Below are 18,704 nucleotides of genomic sequence, written 5' to 3' on the forward strand. Positions count from 1 at the left end.
CCTGAGACAAGGGTGTGTATGCAAGAGATTTATTAAGGAAGTGAACCCAGGAAAATCCTGTAAGGGAATGAAGAAAGTAAGACAGCAAAAAGAAAGAAACGAAGCAAGGATGGGATCCAAGCAAAAGTCAACCTCAGCCCAGCCCTGTAGGAAAACTCTAGAGTTAAATTGTGCCTCAGGTTTTTTCCTAGTTGAAGCCAGAAACCTGGGCTTTCATACTCTGCACCAGTGGATCATTGGCTGGGGGAACAGGGCAGGGAAAGGGGTGGAAGATGTGTCTGTGAGAGCTTAAACTGCCCGGTCCCTCTGGCTCTCGGGGTGTGTGTGTGTGTGTGTGTGTGCGTGCGTGCGTGTATGTGTGTGTGCGTGAGCAGCTGCAGTAGTCCAACTGCAGTCTTCTGAAGGTTTTTCCAGGTATTGGCTGGTAGACGCAAAGGCATATACAGAAACTGAAAAAGGAATCTGGGGGATTTGTTTCAATAGTATGTTGAATACTGACAGTGTTCATATACTGTTGATATATGACAATATATCAAATATGGCAAATATTCTATTTTTATATTTTAAAAATACTTTTATTTTAAATCTGAGCCCATCAAAGACTTACTTGTGCAATCAGGTTTGTTTCCAAAATGCCTCCCTTTTTTTTTTTCTTTTTTTTTGAGACGGAGTCTCGCTCTGTCGCCCAGGCGGGAGTGCAGTGGCGCAATCTGGGCTCACTGCAAGCTCCGCCTCCCGGGTTCACGCCATTCTCCTGCCTCAGCCTCCCACGTAGCTGGGACTACAGGCGCCCGCCATCATGCCCGGCTAATTTTTTTGTATTTTTAGTAGAGACGGGGTTTCACCGTGTTAGCCAGGATGGTCTCGATCTCCTGACCTCGTGATCTGCCCGCCTCAGCCTCCCAGACTGCTGGGATTACAGGCGTGAGCCACCGCGCCCGGCAATGCCTCTCTTTTTTAATGACAGGATCATTTGTGTCTGTATTGTGAGAATTCCATTTTTACAACTCACTGTTTTTCCTGAATTGTCTCCTCTTGTTCAGCCTTACCCTCACCCCCACTCCACCCAAGTCATTCATGAGTCCTCTCCTCTCCATCAGTACCCACCCACCACATGTACACATCCACATTTACTTAAAAAGTCACCCATTTCTGTCCTTTTGACCTCCAAAACATGCCTCAATTCCATGCACTTCTTTCCAGTTTTTACTGCCTAGCGTGAGTCATCATCACCTCTTGCTTCAGAACTCTTCTCCAGACATTCACATTTGTACCCTGTAATCCATTTTCTACACAGTAGCTGGAATAATCTTCTCAAAGCACCAGGCAGGCCATATCATCCATGCTGAAACATTCCATGGCTCTTAGAATGAAATTCCACTCCTTCCCATGGCTTACAAATCTGCTGCCTGCAACTCTGGTCTCATCTTCAGCCCCTTTTACCCTTGTTAACTGCACTTCTGCTGCATATTCCTGTATTTCTGTTTCTCTTCCTGACCTCAGTGACTTCCTCCATGATGTTTCTTTGTCTGGAATGTTCTCCCTTCCACCCTACTTGGTTACCTCCTATTGATCCTGCAGATCCCAAGGTCTTTCCCTGACCTAGGTAACGGTGGTTGTGATGCCCTGTGCCACCTCAGGACTCTGCAGAGAATCCCCAACAGCAAGAGGGCCCTCACCCCCATCCTGTTATTTCCTCTTATCATATGCCAGTACAATGGAAAGAGAAGCCACAACAAGGCTACTATTTTCCTAGATAGCATTTTTCACAGTTTGTAATTAAATACTTACTTATGTTGTAATTTCTTGTATCTGTCTCCCCCATTAGACTGTAAGATTCATAAGGGAAAGGAATAAATCTATTTCATTTGTTGGTGTATAGCCAATAATAGTTGTTGAATTATAAGTTTCTTCCTTTTTTTTTAGAGACAGAATCTTGCTCTGTCATCCAGGCTGGAATGCATTGGTGCACTAATGGCACACTGCAGCTTTGACCTCCCAGGCCAAGTGATCCTCCTACCTCAGCCTTCTCAGTAACTGTGACCACAGGCGTATGCCACCATGGCCAGCTAATTTTTAAATGTTTTTGTAGAGATGGGGTCTCACTATGTTGCCAGGCTTGTCTTCAACTCCTGGGCTCAAGTGATTCTCCCATCTCAGCCTCCCGAAGTGTTAGGATTATTGCATGAGCCACCGTGCTCAGCCAAATAATGTTTCTATTTTAAAATTTGTCTCAAAATTTGTCCTCCTATGTCTAGGACACAAATCTGAGTTGCAAAGCAGTAGCTTTCATCTATAAAATGTCCATCTCAGACTGAAGACAAGCTATGATAAGGCTGCAGTCAGGCTCTCATAAAGAGCTGAGTCAGGCTTTCTCCTCACTTTGGGAGGTTCCTGTCGCTACAAAGTTCTTCAAACTCAAAATCCTCCTTTTGCAAGAGCCCTTGCACAGAATGAGTTGGCAAACATTTACTATAAAGGCTCAGATGGTAAATATTGTACACTTTGTGGGCCATGTAATCTCTGTCAAAACTACTCAATTCTACTGTACTAGCATAAAAACAATTACAGACATAATGGTTGTAACTGTGATCCAATAAAACTTTATTTATAAAAACATTCAGTGGCCATAATTTGCCAACCCCTGACGTGGAGGCATAGTGCCTTAGTCTGTTTTCTTTTGCTACAACTGAATACCTGAGACTGGGTAATTTATAAAGAAAAGAAATATATTTTTTACAGTTCTGGAGGCTAGGAAGTCCAAAGATGAGGGGCTGCATCTGGTGAGGACCTTCTTGCTGGTGAGGACTCTATGCAGAGTGCTGTGGTAGTGTGGGGCATCATAAGACAAGGGAGCACACTGAGAGCCAACCTGGCTTTTATAACAGGTCCACTCTCATGATCACTAACCCTCTCTTATGATAAACCATTAATCTATTCTTAAGGACAGAGCTCTCATGATCCAATCACCTCCCAAAAGTCCCACCTCTCAACACTGCTGCATTGAGGCCTAAGCTTCCAACACATATACTTTTGGGGAACACGTTCAAACCATAGAAGTTAGTGAAAACAAGGGACTCACACTCATGGTAAGCAAACTTTGGCTGCCTGTAAAACACTCCTGACAGTGATCAAGGTAAGGAAGACAACTGCTTTGTTCACAAATGTCAAATTGAAGTAAGCTGTGGAGTACAGCAATTAGAACTCCACCAGCCCAGGGATTTCTGCCTGTTTTTTCCCTTGATATATCTGTTCCAAACACAAGAACAGTGCCTGATCCCTACTAGCCACTTGATAAATATTTGTGGAAGGAGCACTGTTGCTTTAAGGTAGAGAAATCTTTATGCTGTCAACAAGATCATCTCTATCTATCATACATTCCACAAGGAAGGGCCTTGTTCCTGGTGGGTGCTTTCTGGTGGATGTTAACATGCTACACAAAAATATTCATACTTCAAGATCACTCCCAAGACCTGCTGTCTGGTTTCTGACTTCCCAATCTTTCTCCTTCCAACACCCTGACCAACCAGCCATTTTCTTCTACTCATAAATCCATATGTATATTATTTTCATTTCAGGCCACTTCTGTTTCCACGTTAAGTAGATGATTCAGCTATAAGTATGATCTGCAAGAGAGGCACCATTGTGACATGAACCATGACAAAGGGGTCTATACTACCTACTTGTGCCCCATCCCAGATGTGCCACTTCCATTTTTACAATGGATTGCTGCAGGGCTCACTTAATTAATATGATTTGATGATTCTGAAAGAATCCAGCTCCTTGATAGGTGGTTCTGGCTGCATGCTCACTTATACTGTGGGCAGACTTTTTATGCCTAATATTACACGGGTAGCCGTTTTGTGAAAAGTATATAGTTCTCCACTACAGACAGTGTGGCTCTGGTCAGCTGCCGATGTTGCGATTCCCCTTTTGGAGCCTGTCACAACCTCTACACAATATCTTTTTCCACCACACTTACCTCTAATACCAATGGTCTAGTAGATCATATGTTTCAAGAAGCAGGGCTGCTTGTACTGTCATATGAGCCTTCTGCAAAGCCATTTCTTTTTCATCGCTAGAAGACTTCCCTATCACTCAGTAAATGAGTTAGAGCAATATTCTCAAATGCAAAAGATGCTTCCTTCAAAATTCAAAGAACCCTACCAGGCATTATGGTCCTTTTTTAATAATCAGAGATACAAAACAAAATAATTTGTCCTTTGTTTTGAGTGGGGATGTTGTCAAAAATCCCAGATCATGGGACCCCTAAAAACTTTATGGGCTCCTAAATCTTCGTTGGATTTATCACCCACCCTCTGGAGTGCATGTTACCAACGCCTCCAGCACACTTGCCTCTACTTGCTTATCTGGTTCAATTAATAGGATGTCATCAATAGTGAACCAAGATGATGTTCTGTAGAATGTATAGATGTTCCAGTCCTATAGGGTAATGGAAACTAAGAGATTGAACATAGCTCTGGCACAAGATCATAAATGTATATTGTTGCTTTCTCATGTGAACTCGAATTGTTTCTGGTCTTTCTTTCTAAGAGGAATGGGAAAGATTACATTCACCAAGGCCGGGCGCAGTGGCTCACACCTGTAATCCCAGCACTTTGGAAGGCCAAGGTGGGTGGATCACCTGAGGTCAGAAGTTCGAGACGACCCTGACCAACATGGAGAAACCCCTGCCTCTACTAAAAATACAAAATTAACCGGACACTGTGGCTCATGCCTGTAATCCCAGCTACTCAGGAGGCTGAGGCAGGAGAATCGCTTGAACCCCGGAGGTGGAGGTTGCAGTGAGCTGAAATTGTGACATTGCACTCCAGCCTGGGCAACAAGAGCAAAACTCCATCTCAAAAAAAAAAAAAAAAAAAAGACTACATTCACCAGGGCAGTGAATGGATGCTGTGTACTTGAGCATGCACCATGCTAATCTGCTATAGCAAACAAACCATAATTAGTATGGTAGCGATAAATAGGGTTACTGTATGGTTCAGTTTGCGTAGTCTATTATCATTCTTTAGGATTGACTTTATTTTTTTGTAGAAGACACGTTGGTGAACTAAATAAGGATAAATTAGGAATTAATCGTTACTTCTTCTGAGTCTTTTAACTGTAGGGGTAACATTTATTCTCTATCTTTGACCCTTGGATGCATTATTGGTTTTCGTCTACCATCTTGGATGAGAAAGGATGGGGACAATTAAGGGCTGTTTCGGAGAATTTCACTTGCCTTATCCACTATGATGGCTCCTATCTTATTGGCCAAGGAATCAATGTTGAGTTCTGCCAACTCCCAAGTCTGTCCAATCCAAGTATACATTCAGGTACTGGCAAAATGACCACTGGGGGCATTCATGGACTCAGGGAACACACCATAGCCAAACCTGAGCCAGGACTTCATTTATTATGTAGCTCCCACTGTTCCTATTCTAAGAGGTCATGATGACAAATATCAACAAATATTAATTTTAATTCAAATTCTGTGTCCAATAGTCCTTGAAATATTTAGGTATTCACTGTCCTCCTGTGATGAGTTACTGGATTAAATGGCCATAGATAGTTTTGACAAAGCACAAGCAAATTATTACCAAATAATCTCACCATGATATTGGAGTCTTCCTGTTTATGGCCCAGGCTCCCCTTCATTCAAAAAGTTCTGAATCTGAAAATTGGCTCAGATTCAGAAACTGGGCACCTATTCTGCTCTAAGCCCTAATCAACCCTTAATTGTTGCTGACTATATAAATTGAACAATACTGTTGTTGACTGTCCAACTTATTCTAGAGATCTAGGCATCTTTATCGCTCTCTCTGCAGGTCAGGCACAATTCTTGATGTGCTCTGAACTTGTACTCATTATGGCAGTCCCATCAACCTGGATGCTGACTGTTAAGTACCACTACTTGGCCTTCATTATTTTGAGATCCCATCATCTCCTCATCTGCTAGGGGACTGAGTTCTGTAACAGCATCTCCTACATTTGTCCTGGTCTATAGAGGAAAGTTATCACTGAGTCTTTAAGGATGCTGAAGCTCTCTTCAGTATAGTCCTTATTACTTTAGTAAACAGAGTGTTTTTTAGTCCAACTTGTGGAACACAGTTGGCTGGTGTGTTTTTGGCTTCATAAAGTATATTTATCCCAGGATATCCTCTTTGAGCTTTTCTTTGAGCCTTTGATTCCATTTTTCACCATTTGCATGGCAGTTCTGCCCTTTCTTTTTCACTTACTATGGACCAACAATATATTGGCACTGCCTCCTGTGTATTTGCCCAAGATCACCCATATGATGGGAAGGTGCTCACATATTGATAAATTAACCTTTAGTCAGCTCTATATTCCAGTAAACCTTGATCCAGAGCCATCAAAAAGTCCAATATGTATTCTGTTGGTTCCTGGTTTCCTAGGTCATACAACTGTTTCGGTTCCTAGTCCCTTTCCACCCTTCACAGGCCCAGCATATCCTCCATCAGGTTATGTTATGGTGTGTCCCTAATAACTGGTGAGCAGCCAAGAGTGGAATTGGGAGTAAATTCTAAAGGAGGGGCAAAGGGGAGGGAATGTGTTGTCCTGCAAAGCAGAGGACTTTGTGTTGTCTTCAAACAAGGGGGAGTGCTATCCTTTAATAGGGAAAAGTGGGTTACTTTTGCATATGCCAAGGGTCTAAGAGGACCTGGGATTTCAAGGTTCTTTAGTGCACTGACCCAGATATCCCCATCCAGGTCCTAGAGTCCCACTTCTTCCTAACTAGGACTCTGCTGGGGGGATTGACAATTTAAATTTCTCTCTGGTGCGCAGCTACTCTTATAATTAAGTCCTAGGCCTGATCCTCAACTATTTCTGCTCTGTGGCTGCAGGGGATGATTGTCCTTTCATGTGCTTCTGGGGAGGCTTCTGAATTTCACACTCTCCCTTACACTGGTCATGAATTACCCTCACCTTTTCGTTGTCTATTTCCAATGCATTGATCACACTCAACAAGAGCAACCTAATTCCCTTGTCTTTATAATTACTCCTTTCTGAATTTCTCAAACATCTGAGATGTTGCACCTGCCAGTGCTTTCCTTTCCCTTCTACTTCATCCCAGTTCTCTGTCAGATAAAGTTTTAACAATTGCCCGGCTACAAAATGCTAGAGACTGTTCATATTCCATCTATTTACCAAGGATGAGAACCTCATTGCCAGCCAACTAGCAGATGACCTACTTCCAAAAATTAGAGACTTCACTAAGGATACTTGTAGGAACAATATGTATGGGGGAGGGTGTATAAGGAACAAGATTAAGCAGTGGGAAAGGTTGAACTGCAACAGAGTCTTCAGTCCATCCTCTGGGGAATCTCTGGAGCTGGGACAGCCCTGCACAGGTGTTTTGAATTGAGGTGAGAGGGGCCTCGTCTTTGTCGCCTCCTTCTTGACAAAGACCTCATTGGATATGGGCTGCCCTTGTGGCAGGGACATACACTAGTGTGAGGCAGCACCTTTCAGGCTCAGGGCAATTCCTGGGGAAGAACTCACTGTCAGCCATCAACAGGCAAGAATCCTGGCAGCTGGGAGAACAGGAACCTCAGTCCTGAAGGTGAAGGTGGAGAGAGAAATCTGGGGTGTACCTCACCACTGCATTTACCAATGCTGTTCTAAAAATTTAATCAGAACATGAATGTGGAAGGACTTCAGTTTATTTTCAACACTTTATAAATCCAAGGGTTTGTTTTGTTTTTTTGAGACAGAGTCTCCCTCTGTTACCCAGGCTGGAGTGCAGTGGCACACTCACGACTCAGTGAAGCTCAACTGCCTGGGCTTATGTGATCCTCCCACCTCAGCCTCCTGAGTAGCTGGGTCTACAGCTGCGTACTACCATGCCTGGCTAATTTTTGCATTTTTTTGCAAGATATTCTCATAACCTCACAATTTTGACTTGGGTTGGCCCAGGCACAGAATCAGCTGCCATAGTCAGTAAGAGAAGATGTCTTAGTGAGGTCAGACTCTCCCATGTGTAAACTAAATTACCGACTTTTTAACTGCCCATTATATTCTAAGATTCCAGATTCTGGGTTGGTTTTAGACAATCCCTAATGGAGCATCATTTTGAAAATGAAGGGTCCACAATTGATTTCATTTTTTTGCCCAAGATTTTTCGTTGGTGAACAGTTTGGAATATCTGAAGGGTTAAATGTAGTATCATTACAAAGTTGAAACAGAACCATAAGTTTAATATTATTTTAAGGCTCAAGTGATTTAACATGACATCAAGCTTGAGTTAACATTCTACATGGTTGTGGAGATATTAAGGTTTAAACAGATGTCAGCCATTTTTTTTATAAAACAGAAATTGAGTTATACAGATGGTGAAGACTAAGGAGTTCAAAGTGGCTGTGCGTAGTATAAAAATGTACACTAAATTAAAAAGTAATCATCTTTATATTTCAAGTTTGAAGATTCTGTTTTTAGTGATGAGGATAATTTTCAAGCCAATCAAACAGAAATCTATTTACCTTTTACTTCCATATTATACATTTTTTCTGCTACATTTTCTAATTATGTAAGGTATTTATGCAGTAATATAGGACTTCACTCTCTCTCAACTCTCACCCTTGTTATACCTACCTTTTCTATTGGCATAATATTGTTCAATCTGCTTCATCATAGTTTCCATAGCAACAGGCCATGATGTCATAAAAATCATCGCCTTATAGATTTTTATTATTTTCTATATACAGTTGGGCCTCTTTTAGAAGGTTGTAATTTTTATGCATTTAATAGAAATGTGGCCAGGCACGGTGGCTCATTCCTGTAATCCCAACACTTTGGGAGGCTGAGGTGGGCGGATTGCCTGAGCTCAGGAGTTCAAGACCAGCCTGGGCAACACGGTGAAACCCTGTCTCTACTAAAATACAAAAAATTACCCAGGCATGGTGGCATGCACCTGTAGTCCCAGCCACTCGGAAGGCTGAGGCAGGAGAATTGCTTAAACCCAGGAATCAAAGGTTGCCGTGAGCCAAGATCACGCCACTGCACCCCAACATGGGCGACAGAGTGAGACTCCAACTCAAAAAAAAAAATGTTCTTGCCAATTAAGAAAAAGGTTTTAAGGTTGTGAGGAAATAGGTATGTGAGTTTCACTCATCATCACCAGTTCTTTTAGTTATGTCACTTGGACTCAAAAGTACATTTTCCATAAAAAAATGAAACAAAATCCATATTTTTAAATGGAGAAATGTAAAAAGATGTGATCTACAAAATTATTACTTCTTGTTTTCTGCCAAACAGCCAGATTTGTTTTTCAAATGTATAATTAATTCTAATTAATCTTGTGTTCTTGAAACACTAACTGCTGGAGAAGTTTGAGAAAATACACCAGTATGCCTGTCTATAGTCTGTAGACTAAAAGCGCTGTTCAGAAGAGATATATCTGCCACAGGAATCTCATGTGAACAGAGAGGAGAGTTGTGAGACTGGAAAGGATGAGGAATCTTCTCTGATGCATTGTGGATGGCCTGTGGGCATAGGGCCTCTCCTTTTAGGTTTATGTTGGTTTCCAGCCTTAGTGCCTAAGACCTCAGAGAAAAAGGTATTCTTTGTTTTCTTTCTTTCTTTCTTTCTTTCTTTTTTTTGAGACGGAATTTTGCTCTTGTTGCCCAGGCTGGAGTCCAATGGCACGACCTCAGCTCACTGTAACCTCTGCCTCCCAGGTTCAAGGGATTCTCCTGCCTCAGCCTCTGGAGTAGCTGGGATTACAGGTGCACACCACTATGCCTGGCTACTTTTTTGTATTTTTAGTAGAGACAGTGTTTCCCCATGTTGGCCAGGCTGGTCTTGAACTCCTGACCTCAGGTGATCCACTTGCTTCAGCCTGCCAAAGTGCTGGGATTACAGGCATGAGCCACCGCACCCAGCCAGGAAAAGAATATTCTAATGACAAGCCACAGACGCTCCTGGAGAATACCTATCTATTTCTAGCAAGAAGAATTTGGGGTCTCAGAGATCTTTGCATAAAGACTGTCACTGACTTCCCAATCATCTCACTTTCAGATGCCATAATTTTCATTTACAGCTAACTGCCCAGTGCTATACTTAGCATCCGCTTTCAAGTAGAGTCAAGAAGGACTTTAAGAGTTGTGAAGGAGTTGAGGTCATCTTTGGTGAGTTCTTCTTTTGGCATCTCCCAAAGGGACCACAACCCCATCTCACTCCACCAATCTCTGCCCCCACTTAGTACCACCTCATTCTCTTTGGAGAAAATTGTTAGTTGCTTACCACCAGGTATCTTCCCTCAACCATGAAAAACAGGTGACCTTGTTTCCCTTCTTCCATCTTCTTTTGAAAATCGCCAAAATGAACCCTATCCTTTAAAAAAAAATGAGAGCTAGACTAACTGTTCTACTTTGCTTTCATCACCTCAACAACCACACTAAGTCATCTTTTGTTTAGCTCTGACTAGTATCTCCATTCCTTAGGATGACCCTATAAGTTGAGTTTTAGTACAACTTTCTGATGAAAATCGAGGCTCAGAAAGATTAAGTAACTTGCTTAATGTGTCAAAGCTAATAAATGACAACTCTCAGATTAGACGAGATTCTGTATGTCCTCCAGCACTGCCCTCTTCCCACTATAACACGTTGTCTCCTGAAATGAAAAGGGGATTCTTCTCCATTAAAGACATGGCTGTCATGAAAGTCTGTGACTAGGTGGCAAGTGTTGATTTCAGCCTCAGTCCCTGCAGAACCCTAATAGTGGCAACATCAAGCTAGGTAGAAAGGGAGAAGACAGTGTTATAAACAAGTGAAGTCAGATATCTCTGAGTAGCTGTGCAGAGAGTAGAATTTCTCAAATAATATTGCTGCTGCCAGTGCCTCCAAAACCTAGGGCTGTGACTGACTTTTAACCCAATAAGTGGGTTTACTCAAGAACAGACTAGGATTCTCCTGGATGTCCAGGACATGCCTCTGGATGGTGGTCAGTCACTTCATCCTGAACAGTAGAATTAGATCCCAGAACCTGTGAATATTCTGGCTCCTGATCCTAATAACAACAGGACTGACAAAGGTAGTGAATGAATCCTAATGCCTCATCACTAAGATCTCTAGATTTCCCACACAGACAACATTAGGTCAGAATAAACTATTAGAATCTCTTATCTTTTTCAAGCCTTTTGTTGCTGGGATCAGTGGTGCCTGAACATTGAGAGTTTCTGGAAACTCATTCCATTCGGCTTGCTAAGCAGCAGGTATCTGTTTTATATATGAGTATCTTACTGCCATTTTAGCCTTTATATTAAACCTATTTTGAAAGCATAGCCTGAAGCCATTCCTGCCATTGGCTTTCTTCTCTTTGCTCTTTCTTTGAGTTATGAACTGAGCACATCAATAGCACTCTGAAAGCTTTGATGCTTCTTTGGCAATGACTTCAGTCCTGTTGCATTTACCACAGAACTGTAGTTACTGTCTTATGTGGAGAAGCATATTTGTGGTTGATAAAATGCTAGTTCAATAGTGGGGGCAGGGAGTGAATTGATTATATTGAGCATTTTTATAACTGTCACTTTTCTAAAAGACAAAAGAGAGTAATTTTGGTTTCTTTCTCTATTCCACATATACACTGATTTTTAATTACAATCAAACATTATTAAAGGAAATCCAAGTGAAACCAGGGGGAAAATTATAACTATGGTTTAGTACATAGGATTTCATTTGATCCAGGGTGGGAGGAGGCTGGCAGGCACTTTCAAGCTTTTAGTTTTGTGCAATATTTGATTATGTATACAATTACTCTAAAGGTATTTTACTCAGTATAATTACATGGAGAATAATACACGGTATGTAAGTTAGTGCAATCCTCTTCTGTAGTCTGATTTCTGAGAAATGAGAATCCTACTTTCCTCTGCCTATAAGCAGTGGGCGTAATTCTCCCATATCCTCCTTTTCTATTCCAAAGACATTTGAACAACTTTGCCCTTGTAAATCACCGTCTTTATTTTCATTTTATTTTGTTTTATTTTTTTGAGACGGAGTCTCACTCTGTCACCCAGGCTGGAGTGCAGTGGCACGATCTCGGCTCACTGCAACCTCCGTCTCCCGGGTTCAAGCGATTCTCCTGCCTCAGCCTCCTGAGTAGCTGGGACTACAGGTGAGCGCCACCATGCCCGGCTAATTTTTTGTATTTTTAGTAGAGACGGGGTTTCACCATATTGGCCAGGCTGGTCTCGAACTCTTGACCTCGTGATCTGCCCACCCCAGCCTCCCAAAGTGCTGGGATTACAGGCATGAGCCACCGCGCCCGGCCAACTCGCTGTCCTTCTACCAAGAGAGACAATGTGATGATAGCGTTTATGTGCAGGGACTCAATGATATATAAAATATGTTTCAAATCAAGGCTTACTCACTTCATACCCTTACTAGTCTGTGTGGCTAGGTATTTAATCTATCTCAGTTTCCTCAACTGTAAAATCATTATACACAGTATCTGCCTCATAAGATTGTCAGGAGGATCAAATGCAAAACTGAATACCAGTTGATTGGCATATAGTAAATAATAAATGTTAGCTGTCATTATTACCATGGTCATAAAAGTCTTTAGTGGAATCATGGTAACAGGCCAAATGTGTTTTAGGAGGCTCACTTGCCACAAGATAAGCCATTTGATGGATGTTAGAAAAATTCCTAGAGATGTTGGTTGCCCCTGGAAACAGCTTCTGCTTCTTCTGAATAACCCATGTGGTTCTAGACTACAAGCCCTGGTGGGACAAATTGAGATCCTTAGCCATAGATGGCCATGTTCCCTTGATTAGCTACACAAATGAATCCAAAACTAGACTCAAGCTATAATTTTTACTTTATTACCTTTCTTTTGCAATTAGTTCTCCTTCTGAGGACTCCTCAACTATGGTGACAATGACAGCTGCTTTCAAGAAATATTTTTCAAAAATGGAATAATTTTGAGAGGCAGGGCGTGGTTGGAGAAGGAGAGGATTTGTAGTCTCTTGAGAACTATGCTTTTGTTTCTCTATTTATGGTCTTAAAATTTGTTTCTCAATGTGTGGTTTTCTGAATCACTTAGAGCAAAAGTGTTTGTTACAAATGCAGATGCTAGAACCCCACCCCAGACTTCCAGGATCAGAATCTCTGGGGATGGCGATGGGCAGTCTCTGTCCTAACCAGATTTCTAGATGATCCTCATGCACATCCAACTGTGAGAACCTCTGACACAGAAAACAGTTGAATATATCAACACCATCTCTGATGTTATTTCAATTTCAAGCACTTCTGACTTTGTTTTGAGAAGGAAACAGATCATTAATACTTATACTTCTGTATTCCTTCCTTAATAAGCTAAGGGCCTTTCATTTTTATGCTTCTATAAAATGGGAGTTATGAAAGTTACCAAACTCTTTTTGATGGAAGAAAGAATAAATGTTTACTAAATGTTTGGGGCTCTCTGCTGAGAGGTAGCATGAATGTGCCAAGCACTATCATGGGAAAATATGTAGGTGGAGTTGATATAGGTATGCCACAAATCCCCATTTGCCATAATTTAAGAAAATAGGTACCAAAGTGGTGCCAGTGAATCTTATAGCTAAGCTACTGTTTTGGCTCTATAAAGGGAGGGTATGCTAAACCCACAGGGGGCTATAAAATATCAGCTGAGCATTGATGGAGCTTGGAGTCAAATAGAAACCTGTTCTCCTGTGAAAACATGCACATCTGTGGAACTGCATTGCTATAATCAGGGCACAACCAAATTCACAGATGTGCCCAATTTTCTGTTTCCTCTATATTTTACCAGTTTCACGGCGCAGTGACAAATGAGGAAAGTACTAAGCTGATTTTGCGTAGAATCTCATGGAAGTTGCTCACAAATCTCACTGGTGGGAATGAACCTCACAAATGTTAATAGTTAAGTGCTACATCTGTCTAATCCATCTCTGGGATACACTAAGCTCTCTGTTACTTTGCATACAGCAAATTGAAGAAATCCCATTATTCTAAGTCAAGTTTCAAAAAAAAATTTCCTTTAAAAAATCCTCCTCTCCCCAATGATTTTCTTTCTTCTATTTTCACATTTTCAAGTTCATGTGATTGATAATTATAAAATGGAACAAAAAAAATCTGACTGAGGAAATCCGAAATGGTGAAATAAACTCCTGAGTCTTGTCTCTGTGTGTTTCTTACCATTTCCTAGCTCCTAAAACCCAGGAGGCTCTTAAAACTCCTCTACCAACATCTCCCCTCCATGAAAAAAGGAAGGTAAGAGTTTCATAATTTGGAAAAGAGAAAAAATACTGTATAGTATACCATACTACACCATAACGGACAATTGTGGGTTTGGGTTTTTGTTTTGTTTATTTTTTTGAGACAAGGTCTCACTCTGTCAACTAGACTAGAGTGCAACAGCTAGATTATAACTCATTGCAGCCTTGACCTCCTAGGCTTAGGCAATCCTCCCACCTCAACTTCCTGAGTAGCTGGGACTACAGGTGTGTGCCACCATGCTTGACTAATATTTTAATTTTTGTAGAGACAGGTCTCTCAATGTTGCCCAAGCTGGCCTCAAACTCCTGGCCTCAAACAATCCTCCCACTTGGCCTCCCAAAATGCTGGGATTATAGGTGTGAGCCACTGCACCCAGCCAAATTGTGAAGTTTTTTTACCATGAGCACACACACACACATACACACACACACATACGTTTATTTATTTACTTCTTTGGTAACAAGACTCCAGTTTCCTTTTTAGGAAATCACCTGACCCCATAAAGAACAGTCTTGAGAGGTCTGCCATTAAGATGTCCCTGTTCCCCCAGCCAGTGAATGAGTGCCTGAGCCAAGGTACACCAGACAGACTGCATTCCTGAGACTGAGTCTTGAGCACAGCATAGCAAGGACAGGTGGGTGCTTACTCTGTCTAGAGGCAGTGACTTGCCAATACTATTACTTTCTACTACCCAGAATCTGACTGCCCTGAGTCCTGAACTTTTCCCAATATGATTATTTGGTCTTACTTTTGTTTCTTTATCTCTTCCATGTCTTTCCCATTAATTTCTCTTTTCTTAACCTAGCCAAAGTTCTTCACTATTGTTTACAATCAGAGGTGTCAATCAAAATCTTTACCAATTGGCTCACCTGTGGGAGAAGGCATTCACCAGTTGGAACATGACCCTCTCCCAGGAGAATGGATGCTGGCCAGGGTGCTTGCCAGTAGGCTATTTGCAAACAAAGAGCTTTTACTGAAGATATTAGATCCCACTGTTCTGCTCATTTTAAGAATAATGATATTTTCACCTACACTAAGCTGTATCTATAACCATATGCTACAAATAAAAAATGATGATGTTAATGAAAGACAGTGAAAGAGACTTCTATCCAACCAAGTTAGGGTAAAAGGACTAGTAAGATAAAGGAAATAATATTGAATAACCTGAGTGAAAAAGCTGCATAATGAGGAGGTTTGCATTAAAAATAGTTCTCAGATCCATAGAATCCTAGAGATTCTTTTGTAATGCCAAAAAACACAAGATCCATGACTTGAGAAAGATTGTCCTATGATTAAAAAAAGCACTAAGAATACAGGATTGGAGGAAGGTTTCCTCTATGGAGTTCAATAGTATTGATAAATCCCTCATTGACTTTTATACATGCCCCAAGAAATTAGAATGAAGTCACAACATCCCCACTTAAGTAATGGGATCCTGTGAAGGATCAACATCTCGTTTACTATAGAAGAAGGGAAAACTATATCACATTAAGTTATGATGCTGAAAGCTAACAACAGGCCTGGGTAGAAGTGTAGGTATTAAAAGAATGTGATCAAGGCCCAGTGTGGTGGCCCATGCCTGTAATCCCAGCACTTTGGGAGGCCGAGGTGGTTGGATTGCTTGAGGCCAAGAGTTCAAGACCAGCCTGGCCAACATGGCGAAATCTCGTCTCTACTAAAAATACAAAAATTATCCAGGCATGGTGGCATGCGCCTGTAGTCCCAGCTACTCAGGAGGCTGAGGCAGGAGAATCGCTGGAACCCAGGAGGTGGCAGAGGTTGCAGTGAGCTGAGATCACACCACTGCACTCCAGCCTGGGCAATACAGCAAGACTCTGTGAAGAAGGAAGAAAGGAAGGAAGGAAGGAGAGACAGAGAGAGAGAAGAAAGAAAGAAAGAAAGAAAGAAAGAAAGAAAGAAAGAAAGAAAGAAAGAAAGAAAGAAAGGGAAAGAAAGAAAGAAAGAGAGAGAAAAGGAAAGAAAAGGAGAGGAGAGGAGAGAAGAGAAGAGGGAGAGAAAGAGGGAGGGAGGAGGAAGAGAGGAAGGAAGGAAGGAAAGAAGGAAGGAAGGAAGGAAGGAAAAAAAATGTGATTGAGCCTGTGCTTTTGTCTTCAGCCTCTCTCACTACACCTGAGCTTGGCACCCTATAATTCAATCATATAAAACTATATAATAGTTAAAATTCCTCCAATGCACCATGCTGATCTATGCTGTGCACATTTTCCATAACTGGAATGCCCTTCTTCCACAGCCTTCTAGTTTATGTGGCATCTCCATGCACACTAGAAAAACACACACCTTATTCAAGACCCTTCATTTTCCTCTGTTGGAGAAATGTTGAACTATACTAATTTTGTTAACTTTAAAAACTCTTGTTTAAAATATACTGATTAATGATGTCTACAATATAAACAATTCCCCTTAGGGATGCTGCACACGCATCCTTGGAGGGTCTGGATAACAAAATGGCTTACAAAGCTCATCTGAGAAGCCTTCCCTGGGTGTGTTCCCACTCTGTCTGGAATGCCGGTTCCATTGTAACACCTATTATGTGGTTTGTATATGTTCATGTATATGTCTGCTGACCCCATAAGAAAGGGGAGACACTTTGAGAGGAGGGACTGCTTCTTGTTAACCTCTGTAGCTCCAGCGACTAGCAAAGTGTTGGCAAATTGTTGACATTCTGTGAATTATTGTTGAAGAAATGAATCAAGAAATATTCATACACAGCACCCAATGTAGGGCCTTGCCTATAAATAGCATTTATTGAACTAAAATCCCAGAAACAAAAAATAATGGTACTGGGACCACTATTTATTTACACCATCCTGTTGGATATTGTTGGTGTGTGTGTGTGTGTGTGTGTGTGTGTGTGTTATTAGTGATAAAATACTAAATTCGAAGTGAAGACATTTCCAGTTTTTAATACTGTGTCTTGCTAGTACCTAACAGAGTAGATGATCAATAAACATTTGCTAAATGAATAAATGTGTGTACAGAATGAGTCAACGAGTGAATCAGAGCAAGGAGAGTGTCATCATCATTCTTCTTTATAGACCAGAAATACTGAGACTTCTTTTCTTAATGTAGTGTGGAGCTTAGAGTAGTTGCTAAGTCTATCAGCATCATGATAAATGTTTGAGGAAACATCTTTTTCCTTAATATAAAAGAAAAATATATCTCCTATTGAAGATGTTAGAAGTCGTGATATAGGGAAAGATAAGGGCCTATAATATTAGGTGCAGAATAAAATATTGCCCGTGAAGTTAAAGGATTTTTTCTCAAATTTTTTGAGTAAGATAATGTTTCAGAGCAGACAGCTAATAATCTATTACATTGATTAAATGTTTCATTTGGCTTTTTGTATTGTGACATCGCAAAAACACTAACTAGCAAAGGTAACTCAGAATTTTTGCTGCACTCCACTTTTGTCACAAAAAATTCAAGGCCATAGAAATAGTCTTAAGCAGAAATTTTGTTTTAAAGAAGAAAATCAATGTCCAGAAACTATTTCTGGATCATTCCAAATGGATGCACCTTCAGAGCCTATTCGTGATAATCATCATCATGAAAGATCTCATTTTTTTCCACATATGCTATTCACTAGGGCTAGAGAGTAAGCTAAAACAAGAAGGACTAAAGGAAACATGCTTTCTGGTTAACTATGAGACACCCCAAATTCCTTTCTAGAAGACCCAGAAATTCCAATTTCTCAAGGTTTTGCTGGCTTACATTGGTGCAGGATCAGCAGACTCTCTAATAGTATATTTATTGGTAATGTCAGGGAGGCTTCTTAGTGACAATAAATTTTCAAAGTATTTGCCTTAGGTCTGATGGGAAAGACCATGTCTTCTTCCATATATAGTGCACACAAAATGGGCAATGAATGAATGGCCATGCTCGCTGGAGCCAGTGGACTTTGCCAAGCTCTTTTACACGTTGGGCATAAAATGCATAACATCTGGGGCCTATGAGATTTCTGAGGACCTAAAAAACAGTTTAAAAGCTGAAATTACAAAAAAAAAGAGCATTTATTCTGAATGCAAAAAGGGCAAAACTAAAATTAATAAATGTTTAATTAAATATCTCCAAAAGGTAATTCCATGCCAAATTCATTGGGTGTTAAATTTAGAATTCATGAAATTTTCATTATATTTGAAAGCAATTTGTAGGCTAGATTTCATCATTTTGTAAGTGATCAAGAAATCATAGTCAATTATAAGTTATGTGTTATTCATAGCCAAATAGTTTCAAATACACAATTATAAGCATCAATTTTTAAAATTTATAAAAATTATAAGTAATACGAGATGTGGGTGCATTTTTATATATTTGATATCTTGAGCACTGGAGGAGAGATTGCCTGGAGAAGATTGCCTGGGACCTGCAAAGGTGGTTCATCCACAGTGAAGAACCCAGAACCTAGACACATCTTCCTTTTTTCTTGTT

At 40.8% G+C, this 18,704-nt stretch overlaps 1 long non-coding RNA gene across 1 annotated transcript in view; it reads left to right on the forward strand.

The window, feature by feature from the left end:
- The window catches only part of LINC01877 (long intergenic non-protein coding RNA 1877), a 51,065-nt gene that overhangs the window by 2,280 nt on the left and 30,081 nt on the right, over positions 1 to 18,704 (forward strand). The window contains exon 2 of the long non-coding RNA NR_110270.1: positions 14,185 to 14,249. This is a non-coding gene — a long non-coding RNA (long intergenic non-protein coding RNA 1877). The remainder of the gene's footprint in view (positions 1 to 14,184; positions 14,250 to 18,704) is intronic.

The sequence above is a fragment of the Homo sapiens genome, chromosome 2 (genome assembly GCF_000001405.40).
Source record: "Homo sapiens chromosome 2, GRCh38.p14 Primary Assembly".
Classification (NCBI taxonomy): Eukaryota; Metazoa; Chordata; class Mammalia; order Primates; family Hominidae; genus Homo; species Homo sapiens.